The sequence below is a fragment of the Homo sapiens genome, chromosome 2, assembly GCF_000001405.40.
Source record: "Homo sapiens chromosome 2, GRCh38.p14 Primary Assembly".
NCBI lineage: Eukaryota > Metazoa > Chordata > Mammalia > Primates > Hominidae > Homo > Homo sapiens.
Window position 1 is genome coordinate 101830349 of NC_000002.12, and position 13709 is coordinate 101844057.

Sequence of the window (13709 nt, forward strand, 5' to 3'; positions counted from 1 at the left end):
TTTTCCTGGAGTTACTCACAAGGGTTCTTTTATATTTCTTGTTTCCTTTAGCTGGGTCTGAACTCATTCCACTTTCATCTAAGTGTTGTATCAAAATTTTAAATAGAGTTTGTATTAATTTTTCTTCCACTAACACATCACAACAAAATTCTTTATGTTTATATGGGTCTGGTCAACCTTTCTTTTAGAAATCATAGGCACAGCTGTTGTACTGTAAAAGTAAGATCTTCATAGTTACTTTCTTGCCTGTGGTTGTGTTTGTTGGTTTTCTATGGAGGAATCTGCCCAATTGGAAACTCCCCTCAGAGCTAACATAGGAAGCACTTGAGCAGTTCTCATACCAAATGACTCAGTGAGTTGTGTGTTCCCTGCTCTGGTCTCCTGGTACCAGCCTGTGATAGTCCCTGAGCGATCACTTAGTGATTGGTTACCATTGCCTTCCAAGTTGCTGTGATGCTCGCTTAGGCTTCCTGCACTGGCTGGCCTGTGTGTCCCTGGTTCCTGCACTGCCTGGCCCGTGTGTCTCTGTCTCTAAAGGAGTACTCAGTGAGTGAGTCCACACCCTGGACGAGCCATTTTCTGAGCGTGTTCTGTGCATGAATCTATGATCCCTTTAAGTCATCTCAGCATTTCGTAGGCCTTTTTGCATGGGCTCCTCCACCTTTGCAGGTTCCTGCTGGGTTAATGGCAGTGTGCGTAGTGATAGTGTTGGCAGGGAGTGATGGGAGGCATTCTGTTAGAGGTCATGGTCTTCCTGCCAGCTCTGCCTCCCGTCCTTGAACTTTCCTCTAGACCACCACCACCATCCAATTGGGTGGGATGCAGAAGTCACTGAAAAATCAGCAGAAGTTCCAAGTGCTTTAGGGTGTGTTGTTTGTGAATATGTGATTTAGCTTGATTTTCTTTATTTGATTCAGTACTGTGTTTTTTTTCAAGAAAACTTTCGTGAAATTCTTATCTTTATGGTTATTAGTGCTGTTTAAGAAGGTAAGTCAAGTGCATCTCAGTCAGTTCTCCTGAACCTGGGGCTCTCTGTGACTTGATCTTGTTTGTGGCAGTTCTCTGAAAGCACTGAAGGTTGTGGTTCATTCAAAAGGCCCTCTGCTGGTCACTGTTGGAGAAGCTGGGGAGGCAGCCAGATCCAGGCCTCACAGAAGCTTCCAGACTGGTAGAGGATCTCACAGTCTCGGTGGCTTTACTGTGGAGGGGCACTCCTGACCAGTGGTGCCTGCCTTGAGCAGGATCGCATATTCATGAAGCACTGCTGTTTCAGTTTACTATGAAGACATTTCCTCCTTGTGTTTTTTCCCAAGTATATCTGGTTTGTAGTTGTGTTTATCTTTCTTTATCTGCCTTTTTCTTCCTCCCACAGTTGACTTTGGTGTGAGTGCTCAGCTGGACAGGACTGTGGGGCGGAGAAATACGTTCATAGGCACTCCCTACTGGATGGCTCCTGAGGTCATCGCCTGTGATGAGAACCCAGATGCCACCTATGATTACAGAGTAAGAGGCACCTGCTCCGTAGGCCTTTGCAGGGCCACTGGCATACCCGAGGGATGGGGGCTTTGCTTATAAATTGCACACCCCTTGTCTGCCTGCCTTTTCAGGGAGGAAGACCTTCAGTGAGGAAAATTGCAGGTGCAAATTTTCCAGGACAGTATTCAGATGCTGTCTTTTTTGTCCATTTGCATCACATGACTGTGTTCTCACTAAGGAATACACTGGTTTCAAAGCAGTCTGGAGCACTTTGTTGTGCCTAGAACTTTTTGTTCCTATTTGCTATCCATTTTTTAACTTGAAGAATATATTAGAATCAAATATTTATTCTTTTAAAAATATTGCCAATATAAAGTAATAGCTTCATTTGAGTGAAATTTTATATTCTTGTTAAACCACTTTACAGCTTTTATTTGGTACACAAATTTATTTAAATTATTAGAGTGACCTCTAGGGACTTGAGTCAGTAACACACTTTAAAAAAATCTAGATGTAAACCCATATTTGATATCAAACTCAGGTTACTATGTTTACAAAAACTATTTTTAAAAATCCATGCCTTAATTAGATGAGCCAGACTAGTTAATATACCCGTTAATGATATGCAAAATGGAATTCATGTCTTAACAGTTTCCCATGTATTTTAGTATTTATTACAAATATCCAATTAATGAGACTTAATTTAAGACTGTAGTGCAGAATGTTTTATTTTTTATATACTGAAGTATCTTAAAATAGATAACCGACTTTGTGACTTTCCACTCTTTACTGTGTCATTACTTGTCTCTAAAATTTGAAAATGTTTTCCGGCATTCCCCAAATAATTATTATACCTAAGTAAATACAAATAATTAATACAAAGTTGGTAATTAGACCTGACTGGTATGCAGAACAAGGCAATGTATTTGGTTATTTAGTCTCTTTTAATCTGGATCCCCCCACCCCCACCCGATGTTTTTGTTTTTGTTTTTCCATAAAACTGACTTTCTGAAGAGCCTGGGCCTGTTGTCTAATGTTCTACCCTCTAGATTTGTCTCATTACTTCTTTATGTCATTTAGTTTGTTTCCTGTAAACTGGAAAGGTGTAATTTGTATCAAGGAAAACCTTCTTAGCAAAATCACTGCTGGGGAGGTGGAGGTAGAGGTGCTTCATGTTGCCTCACAGCAGGGGACATGCAGAACTGTTCATCCCCAACTCATGTTGCCAGGAGTGGCCACTGGGTTAGGGTAATGAGCCCCTTTGTGTACCCTGATAGTATAGAAAGCTTAATGAAAATAAGGGAGGAATGATAGGTCTCTCCTTTTTGTTGTATTCGGATATATGTGTCTGAACTTTGTAATGTAAGTGTAGATTATTTAGAAAACCTTTAAATTGAGCAACTTTAATTCCTTGGTTAAGATAGCATATAAACAAATACATAGTAATGATAATAACTATCCTCATCTACTTTTCAAAAATCCTTTTTTTTGGATTTTAAGAAATACCATCTGATGGCCGGGCATGGTGGCTCACGCCTGTAATCCCAGCACTTTGGGAGGCCGAGGCGGGTGGATCACGAGGTCAAGAGATCGAGACCATCCTGGCTAACCCGGTGAAACCCCATCTTTACTAAAAATACAAAAAATTAGCCGGGCATGGTGGCGGGCGCCTGTAGTCCCAGCTACTCAGGAGGCTGAGGCAGGAGAATGGCGTGAACCCGGGAGGTGGAGCTTGCGGTGAGCTGAGATCGCGCCACTGCATTCCAGCCTGGGTGACAGAATGAGACTCCATCTCAAAAAAAAAAAAAAAAGAAATATCATCTGATAAGACTTTAGTATATCAGGCAATGTTTAGTGAGTACCCGCCATTACAAAAGTAAATAAAACTGGCAAAAATGACTGCTTTCATGGAACTTATATTTGAGTAGAAAGTAAAGTTTAATTCAAATTTTAAATTTAGTATTTCAGGGGAATCAGAAAAAAGATTCCATGTACAGAAAACCAGCTGACTTGTTTGGTTTGCAGGTAGGGTGGGGATGCTTAGTGGCATGATTTCAATTAGTGAACCACATTAGGTTTTATGAATTCAGTGGTGAACACTTTGTAAAAAATGGTTTCTGGCCTTTAAACTTTAAAATCTTAATTAAATTTGAGTTACTAACAATAAACATAAATCTGGGCCAGAAGTCTTAAGTATTAAATGCTTATGAAGAAATGAAGAAACATACAGTAGTTCACAGTAGACAATTCAGAGAGATGCTTTTAAGTGGACCAGCTCTGGTTCATTCATAGATGTGAGTGGTTTTAATTAAATCAATTTTCTCCTTCCTTCCTTTCCTTCCTTTCCTTCCCTCCCTTCCCTCCCTCCCCTCCCTCCATCCCTCCATCCCTCCATCCCTCCATCCCTCCCTTCCTCCCCTCCCCTCCCCTCCGCTCCGTAAGTTCTACAAATGTGCTTGTACTTTTAATTTTCTGGCAAATTTCCTTTTGGTTTATATAGCAAAGTTGTGTGAATACCCAGACATGTAAGTTAGTGGCTTTGTATCTACTCCAGTATCTGTAACGTACTGTTTTATTTTTGCAGAGTGATCTTTGGTCTTGTGGCATTACAGCCATTGAGATGGCAGAAGGTGCTCCCCGTAAGTAACTTTCTTTTCTTTTTAGCTCACTTGTTACATGTGACTTAAACCCCTCCCAAGACTTCAAAAAGAACAGCTCAGCTCCATGGATAAAGGCATTTCTGGTGGACTGTTTAGATGAAGGCAACATAAATATAGTCAAGTTTTAGATGTAGAAGGAATTCTTGGCAACCACTATTACTATTCCTTTTGAATATCTCTAGGAGGCCTATAGGCTACATTTTCTTTTATTTAAGTTGTACTCACATGTGTGACCTGAAGTAGTGCTGAGATCAGATAATAAGTAGTAAGTTTTCTTTTTACATTTTAAATTGAGTAATTCAGTGAAACTAGTCCTAACACATGAAATTTTAGTATTAAGTTTTGACTTTACAAATGGAGGCAAAACTTTATTGATAGAATAATTTTTTGTGCGTGTTAACTGAAATTTTGTGAGTGTTTGCTTCTCCATTGGATTAATGAGAACTTCATATAATTCATTGTTGATCACGGATGAGGTAGAATTGCAGAGAACAAAGGAAAAAAAACACTGCATTTTCTGCTGGTCCCCATTAAAAAAGGTATACACAAAGAATGTATAACTGTCTGGCACGGCACATAGTTGCTGCTGAATAAATATTTGTTGAATGAATGAAAATAATTATCGACAGCTAAAAATTAGTTTTCAGTATAGAAATAGAGATCTGCCTCAAACACCATACATTCCCCTGTGCTTCCCTCTAAGAAAGTAAGGCAGGGAAGTACCACCTCATCCTTTCTCTCAGTTTTTGTTCACAAGGGGAATAGTATTGTCTGCCTCTCCTCATTGCCCAGATGCCTTGTAAGGGTCTTCTGAAGGTAAAGAAACACATGAAAATGCACATTGCATATGGTGATGTAGTAATGCCTACATGTGTGCCTAACACACCTTTATTGGGTGAGTCATAGGAGTACAAAGAGTAATTGCACAGAATTAAATCCATTTCATGCTCAATTTTTGCTCTTTCTAGTATTTTTAGCTATAACAACAAACAGCATTTCTGGAGGGCCTAACTGTGCTCATTCTGTTCCAGGCATTGTATGAAGGCCTTTGCAAGCCATATCTTATTTAATCTTGACAACAACCCTATGAAAATACAATCATTTTCATTGTAATCTAACAGATAGTTTAACAACTTAGGTGTTAGTTCCTATAAGACTTAGATTTATGAAAACTTTCCAATGTCTTTTTGAAAATGTATATTCTTCTTGTTGCTCTTGTCCTCCCACTTTGCTATTTTTAAATGGGAAATTCAAGATATGCCCTGGAGTTCATAACTAGATGTCTAGACTGCTTGGTATGAAGCCTGTCAGTCAGACGATGGGCCAGAGCATTTCATGTTATTTATGACTGAACCCTAGAAATCAAGAATGAGTGAAATAAGTGCCATACTGACACGACCGTCTCCTCTCCCCAGCTCTCTGTGACATGCATCCAATGAGAGCACTGTTTCTCATTCCCAGAAACCCTCCTCCCCGGCTGAAGTCAAAAAAATGGTAAGCTATATATGGTTTTTTGTTGTTCTTTTCCCTTTTTTTTAAATTGCTTCTTTTTAGTTATACTTTCCTCTGAGATAAAATTCTGGCCCTTCTAATTCTGGGGAACCCAAGAGCCAGTTCTCCAAAACACCAATTAAAAGATGCGTTGATTTTTTTTAAATGAGATTTTTCTTGTTAAATTCTCTCTGAATTACAAAACGGTGACAAATGACCACATGAAACACTATAACATGTCTAAAGACAAATGTTCCATTTTAGTATTTAGGCATTCTTTTAAGTGTAATATACTTCTAAACATCTTCCCATTAAAGAAAGAAAGCGACCGGGCGCGGTGGCTCGCACCTGTAATCCCAGCGTTTTGGGAGGCCAAGGCGGGGAGGATCACCTGAGGTCAGGAGTTCAAGACCAGCCTGACCAACATGGAGAAACCCCGTCTCTACTATAAAACAACACAAAATTAGCCGGGCGTGGTGGCACATGCCTCTAATCCCAGCTACTCGGGAGGCTGAGGCAGGAGAATCGCTGGAACCCAGAAGGCAGAGGTTGTGGTGAGCCGAGATCACGCCATTGCACTCCAGCCTGGGTAACAAGAGCGAAACTCTGTCTCAAAAAAAAAAAGAACGAAAGAAAGCTGTGTTGACTTGCATTTCCTCACATGTAGTAGGATTTTAAAATTAATGGAGGCTTTTACTGTAATTATTATTATTTTAAAAATTGAAGTTAGACATACCAGCTTTAATCGCAGAATAGCATATTAAACAGAATGGTTTTATATTCTTAGGCTGTCACTTTTCCTTCTCCTTGTAACTCTCATACATTTGTCAAACAGAGTACTGATACCCGCAGAGAGAGAGGAGGATGACTTTCCCTGAGAAAAGCTGTTAGGATTGCAGCATTGTGGGAACATGGTGTTGGGTTAGTTGTAAAATCTTGAAGAAAGAGAGCAGTGTTTCTGGTTCTCCTGAGAATTTTGCCCCCTCTTTCCCTCCTGAATTTCTTTCTGGGTCCTTTCTTGTTTGTTCTGGTCTGTACTCTGGCTCTTCATGCATGGTCTCCCCTCCTTTTTGTGTTCTTCTTTCTGTTTTTCTGGGCTCATTGATTCCCACCTACTATATGGCTTTTTTTTTTTTTTTTGAAACAGTTCTTACTAGTTTTCCAATTGATGCTGCCTCCTCTTAGGTTCTTGACTCTCCTTCTGAAATATGCAGGACATCTCAGAGTTAAGCTTCCATTCTGAGTTTGGCCTTCAGCTGTTCCTGTTTATGCTTTTTTTTCTTGTTTACTCACCTTCTGGTGATTTGCAGTTCTCTTTCCCCTATATTGTTGCACGCTGACACCCATCTTCATACCAGTTTTCTTCATGCTTCTCCCTGTAGCTCACTGTCCTTGCCCCCAACACATTTCACTGTTCTTTGCCCTCTGTCTTCTGCTGGCAGGATTTTTCTCATTTTTTATACAGTCTTTAACCACATTTGTCTCCATGTGGCTAATTCCATTTACCCCGTGTTTAGAATGGTTTTTATTGCCACAGAGTTGTAAGGATTTTAACCCCAGTCAGTCTTCTGTATTAAGACATAATAACTCTGGACATCCACGGGTGGCCACGCCTAGGGAAACCATCAGTGTATATAGCTGATGTCACCAAGGAATCAGCTGTGGAGCTGGAGTAACTCTACCCAGTTCATGCTTTAATTAAGTAGTACTCATTTTCCCCTTTTCTTTATCTCTCTCAGATTTTGTTGACAGAAGTCTATACTGGAAGGATTGCTAAGTTAATGCTGTCTTCAGGGTACCTCATACTCTGATTTTTCTGCCCATTAGCTACAGTTCTGTATTAACCACTGTGTCCAACATATAGTGATACAAAGATACAGTGGTAGACAGCAATGAATGCTTCCTGTATTCTTTTCTTACACCAAACTTTCTTTAAACTGGGTTAGACGGCATATTTCATCCATTTTATATCCCTGTTCTAATGTTACCCAAGTGTTCTAAAAGGATGAGAAAATTATGGACGTAAAGTCCTTCTTCCTTTGTGATTGCTGTCCACCGTCTACCCGATGTAAATTCTACTGTTTTTTTGAGAAATAGCTTTCAAAAGATGATCAGTGTCCTTCTGCCAGCAGAACTTGATTCTTGACTTTAGGAAATACGTTGTAGATCATTGATTCCGAGATGTTAGTCTGTGGACACAATGCTTAGGAATCCTTTTGGAATCTTTTAACTGATGGCTCCAACCTCAAAGTTTCTGGTCTGGGGAGTGACTCAGGTATTTGTATCTTCAATAAACTCCCCAAAATGATCTTTGTGGACATTGGGTCTTAGAACTATCTCTGTGTTAAAGCATTTCACTGTACTGTGTAGAATCTTCCATGTTCCTCATTAAACGTAGAATAAAGTAACAGCTACTTTGAATGACTTCAAGGACTTTTCTCTGAGCTGACCCTAACCTATTTTTCCATTCTTTTTCACTTTTAATACTAGCCTCAGAAAATAACTCATTATTCTCTAACACTTCCCTACTTTTGTTCATATCATTCCTTCACTCTGGAATGTTGTCTTCTCTGTCCTACCTTATGAATATCAAGTATCCCACTTTTTCTTCTTGTCCAGTCTACTGTAACAGGTTTTTTCTTCCTCTGTAAGTTTGATATATGTCCGCTGTTGTGTATACCTAAATTTCTCCACTTTATTTCCCATGTGTATGTGTTATAGAACCTGACATAAACAAATGCAAATAGTTGATACGTAAATATTTGTTGAATTGAAAAAAAGTAAGTTTTAATGGAAATACCAGACAATAGAAGTGATTCTTAAAAGCAGTGAAGTGGAAAGAGTGAACTAATTTTCTAACTCACATTTTTAAAGACCGAAGAATACCTCATTCATTCAACAAAAATTTATTCCATACCTATTGTGGCATGCATGCCTAGTGTTGAGCATTGCCTGCAGGTTGAGATGTAGGAACCAGTTTTTGACGTGTACCATTTCAACCTTTCAGTGGGACAGAAACAAAAAGCATGCAGTCTGTTAAAAGCAGATAACCCCAGAAGAAAGGCTCCTAAATTGGGGACACATAGGACAGAGTGTTGCCAGGAAGATTTACCAGAAGTGGTGATTCTTGAGATGAGTCTCAAAAAATAGGATAGGTGATAGGTAAGAGTGTCTTGACCAAGGCTAGGGCCATGGTCCTCATGAGCTGGGCATGGAGAAACAGGAAGAAGTAAAAGTGGCTAGTATGGCAAATGTAGGTGACAGATTAATCTCTTCCCTCCATCCCTCCAAAAGAACCAACAACTGTAATTTCCACCTTTGTAGGTTAAACAGAGGGAACTGACAAATCAACCAGTTTGGAACTCCGGTTGAAATGTCAAATTAACAGGTTCAAGAGACCCAGCATTTCGTCATGGATTCTGCTCCTTTTCTTATCTCATTGTCTGTCCTTGTCTTCTAGGTACCAGACATCTGTCCTGTCTGCCTTCATTTTATCAAAGACCTCCCTTTACCCCCTTGCTGCCACCACTCCTGTTAATTAAGTGATTAATGTGCAATATTAGATTTAAACCCAGTTCATTTAAATCTGACCTCCTTGTTAGCTCCCTGTTTGTGGTGTGTTGTTAGTGATAGGATGCACCACTTAAACTGTGCTAAATTAATGCTCCTGATCCTCAACAGTCCTGAGTTCCTATTTATGTTTCATACATTATTCCTATGCATTTGCAGAATGTTCACAGTGAATTCTGAAGCTCTTCTTTATGTTGAGGCTTGTAAGTTACTGATATTTTCGATCTTTACTCTTTGTGGTGGAAATTTGATGATCTTTTTCACTTCTTACAGGTCGAAGAAGTTTTTTAGTTTTATAGAAGGGTGCCTGGTGAAGAATTACATGCAGCGGCCCTCTACAGAGCAGCTTTTGAAACATCCTTTTATAAGGGATCAGCCAAATGAAAGGCAAGTTAGAATCCAGCTTAAGGATCATATAGATCGTACCAGGAAGAAGAGAGGCGAGAAAGGTACTAAGCCTGTTTTTGTTTTCATCCTTTAAAATTTTTATGTTTAGTTTCTTGCCAACTAGAGTAGGTCCCTCCCTTCCCAGCTGTGAGAGTGCTCACTTGGCCAGTGCTTGCATGGTTTCTCTGCTTGCGGTTCAGTGCTTAGGCCTGGGGTCCAGTCTGGCTCCAGGTGGAGTTGGCTGGAGCTTTGTGTTGTGTCACCAAGCTTACAGCAAATAGATCGGCATTGCGATGGGATGCTTTTCTTGTTCCCGAGGGTCACGTTGTTGCTGCCCATTTTACTTCCTTACGGATGTGTTCATGGTATATTTCACTGGGGTGTATTGAGCATCTGCTGTGAGCATCACCATCAGTGTGTTTCTGTATAATTCTCCTGCCCAAGAACCCCCGCTCAGGGGATTTTTACTGCTCTACTCTATTACAAGCGGTGTGGTAGCATGGGCCACATGCATAGTCAGATGACTTTGCTTTAAGTAGCATGCATAACACAAGCATGCTGTTGTGCTAAATAATGAAGGTTCTTTTCTGTTCCCAGTAACTTTGTTTTATGTCTTTGCACATACTTTGCCCACCTTCCTGGAATGTTCTCCGTTTTCCTTCTGTCCAGCGAGGTGCAGTTCAAACATCGTCACCGTCTTTACTAAACCATCTTCTCTGAGGCTGCTAGCTCACATTGATCCTTCTCTTTTGTGGGTCCTTATAATAACTTTATAGAACAACACTTGGTTAAGTGGCATCCTATTACTTTTTGGTTCAAATTTCAAGGTCAGAGAAGAAACCAAGAAGAGCAGGTTCAAGGCAGTAAAAGAATTGGTCAAAGTCTGGAGGCCTTTCTGCCTGTACTGGTATTCATAGTTAAGTCATCATTGATGTTCAGAATAACCTTTTTCCTTCTGATATACTTAGTTATAAAAGTAATTAGGCTTTGTACATTAAGCTATGCACTTGTAACACAGTTAATTAAAGTTTGAAAACAAGACTTTTTTTCCTTAACTCAATTGACATGGAAGCGCTGTTCAGGAAAAAAATTATTTGCATATTGGATCATTTTCCCATGACTTGACTTAGTAATAATAGCTAATGTTCATGGAACATTTGCCAGATACCTTGGATCATCTCATGTTTTCCTCATCACCCACATTTTGCAGATGGAAACAGCAGAGCACCTTCCCTTCCTTTCTCTTCAAGTCACAGTGACCTCTTCATTTTCTTTTTGGGTTTACCTTCCAGATACCATTAGCCTCTTGTCAATAATTAGTAATTTGTAGTGTAAAATTACAAACATAGCAGAGTACCTATTTTAAGGATTCTGAAGATTATTTAAGCTGGAATTTCCCTTTGAAGCTAGCATAATCTATTAAAATAGCTTTGATGGTCTAGCATACAGAAGAGCTTATATGTGTAGACTGACAAATTTGTACGGAACCATATTTTAATTGCCCAGGCACTTAAAAACCAGGAAACTGATTTTCATCTTTTTTTTTTTTTGGAGACAGAGTCTTGCTGCTCTGTCACCCAGGCTGGAGTACAGTGGTGCGTTCTTGGCTCACTGCAGCCTCCGCCTCCCAGGTTCAAGTGATTGTCCTGCCTCAGCCTGTTGAGTAGCTGGGATTATAGGCATGTACCACCACACCCGGCTGGTTTTTGTATTTTTAATAGAGACAGGCTTTCACCATGTTGGTCAGGCTGGTCTTGAACCCCTGATCTCGTGATCTGCCCGCCTCAGTCTCCCAAAGTGCTGGGATTACAGGCGGGAGCCACCACACCCAGCCTGATTTTCATCTTGTATATCTTTGAAAAAAATAGAGGTGTGTGTGTCTAGACTGCTTTTAAATCTCTTCAACCTGTCTGGTTTTTTGATTGATTTCTGGAGTGAAACTGCTCACTGAAAGTTGGATATTGACATTAAGTGAAGGGACCAATAAATGGCCTTTTGGGAAAACTGTCTAAAACCTGTAGAACTGAAAATGAGTTATTGATGTTGAAACTTTTGTTTGTTTGAAGTCTGGCCTAAGTAGAGCAAATTTTAGTCTCATTCTTTTGCTATATGGTTTAATTAGTTTTCCCTGGTTTTGCCAGGTTTGTTTGTGGGTACATTTGGCTTATTTTTCCTGTACCTAGTTAATGTTTCACTTTGTGTCCATCTCCCAGGCTTTTCTCTCTGCTGCACTCTCCGTGGATCCCTAATTGCAAAAAATCACCAAGTAAATTCTCTTGGTTGCCTTAGTTTCAGCAGTTACATATCTTTTTGAATTTTGCCATCAAAGTGGATTTTGGTGAATTTGCTAGTGCCCTCGGGTTCTTTTCTCATGTATCAGGGGCTCTGGATCCCCTCTCGTGGTCCTGCACGTCCTCAGCAGTACATCCCCATACAAGGTTGGCTCGAATGCCGTGGAATCAGCTTTTCTGTGGGGAGTAAGGCTGACCAGGGAATAGATGCTGTCACTATGAGAATGTGGTGTCTTGCCCCTCCTCCCCAAATCCTCTATACAAGTTGCTGTTTTCACAGGGAACTTGTTTATTTTCTGCCAAGGTGCTCCTGCAGATGCTTGTCTGAACAGGCGTGTGTCAGGACTTGTGAACTGTCCCATTTATCTTGTCCTTTTCTTCATAGATGAAACTGAGTATGAGTACAGTGGGAGTGAGGAAGAAGAGGAGGAAGTGCCTGAACAGGAAGGAGAGCCAAGGTAACCACAAAGCCACTGTTCAGTATCCTGCTTTATGAAGGGATTAAGTTTTATGTTGTGCCAGGACTGCAGAAGACTCCTGTGTGGTACAAAGAATCTTAAATTACTTAGACAGCATCTTACTATCTCCATTCTTCTCTATTCTTGACAGATTCCTGTAAACATTTTTCTTCCCTGGATCCTCTTACCCAGTGATTCTTTACCAAGGGTTGTATTGTGTCCCCTTCTCCAGTCACTGAAAAATGTGTGGGCCTGGGCAGGGGAGAGTGCCCCAGCATTTATTGTTCCAGAAGCCACGGATGGTGAAGGTGCCATTGAACACCATTTCTTGTGGTATATAGAACATGGCTACACAAAAAGAATTGTCCCGCCCATGGACCAGCAGGACTGTGTTGTGTCCTGATTTATTTTACAGTCTGTGTTTTAGTTTATCTCTGGCTCCCCAAAGTTCAGTAAAGCAGAAGGTTAAGGAGTCAGATGGGTTACATGAACCTCATAATAACTGATGAATCAGAGAATAGAGGATTTTTGGATTGTGATGTTGGGTGTGCCTGGCAGTTGTCCATGCTGCAGTATGTGGCTGATGAAGTGAACAAAGGGAGGGTGGAAGGGCATCTCAAGTGACCTGTGGGGAGCCGTGTGCCAGAGAATGGGACTTGGAACAGAGAGAAGAGAATTTATTGAAGCTACTGCATAATCTCTCTTTCTTCTTATGTAGGAGAGATTTTAATCCATTTTAGACTAAGAATTTCAGAGGAATTTGAACTGATTTCATAAGCAATGTAATTGTTTTTGAATAGGAGGAGCACTGTATGACGAAAAAGGCAATTTAAGGAGATATGTTTGCCATGCTGCTCTGGATGCTGTGGCAGTGGAGAAGTAACTCGGTGGGGAGGTCAGCTAGGAAGGGTGTGTTTAATTGATCTGTGTAGTGGCTAATTCGTAGGACCCGCTTGGGCTCAGCTGCTGACCTGGAAATAAGAAAGTGGGAGGGAATTATGACAGGGCTTGGTGGTTGACCAGACAAAGACAAAGGAATGGTGTAAACACTGAAGAGTGGTCTGATGGTTCTGTTTGCTGAAGAAAAAAAAAGTGGTTAAAGGACTAGTGAAATCAAAGAAGGTGATTTCAACCTTTCCTTTTACTGAGTTTGAATTGTTACGCGAATCCTAAATAGAAATGTCTTGTCAAGCAAACATCTAGGACAGCATTTTAAGATATTTACTAAATAAGTAAAAGAAGATATGGGACTATTGAATTGTAGATATAGTCATTTCTGTGGATGTATTAGTTGTCTCCCTGGAGTCAGAGGAACTCAGAGAATGAATGTAGAAATGGGATAATATGCTGGTGCTATTGACTCACTTATAGGACAG

General features: G+C 40.3%; 1 protein-coding gene across 55 annotated transcripts in view; it reads left to right on the plus strand.

Annotated features, from left to right (window-relative positions):
* MAP4K4 (mitogen-activated protein kinase kinase kinase kinase 4) overlaps positions 1-13709 on the plus strand; it is a 196984-nt gene that overhangs the window by 132642 nt on the left and 50633 nt on the right. For 51 of the 55 annotated variants that reach the window (NM_001395002.1, NM_001384506.1, NM_001384497.1 and 48 more), the window contains 5 exons: positions 1373-1503; positions 4061-4115; positions 5552-5630; positions 9471-9646; positions 12261-12333. In NM_001395002.1, the coding sequence (NP_001381931.1) occupies positions 1373-1503; positions 4061-4115; positions 5552-5630; positions 9471-9646; positions 12261-12333 (514 nt within the window). The remainder of the gene's footprint in view (positions 1-1372; positions 1504-4060; positions 4116-5551; positions 5631-9470; positions 9647-12260; positions 12334-13709) is intronic. The other 4 variants (NR_169279.1, NR_169280.1, NR_169281.1 and 1 more) reach the window with 1 other exon arrangement.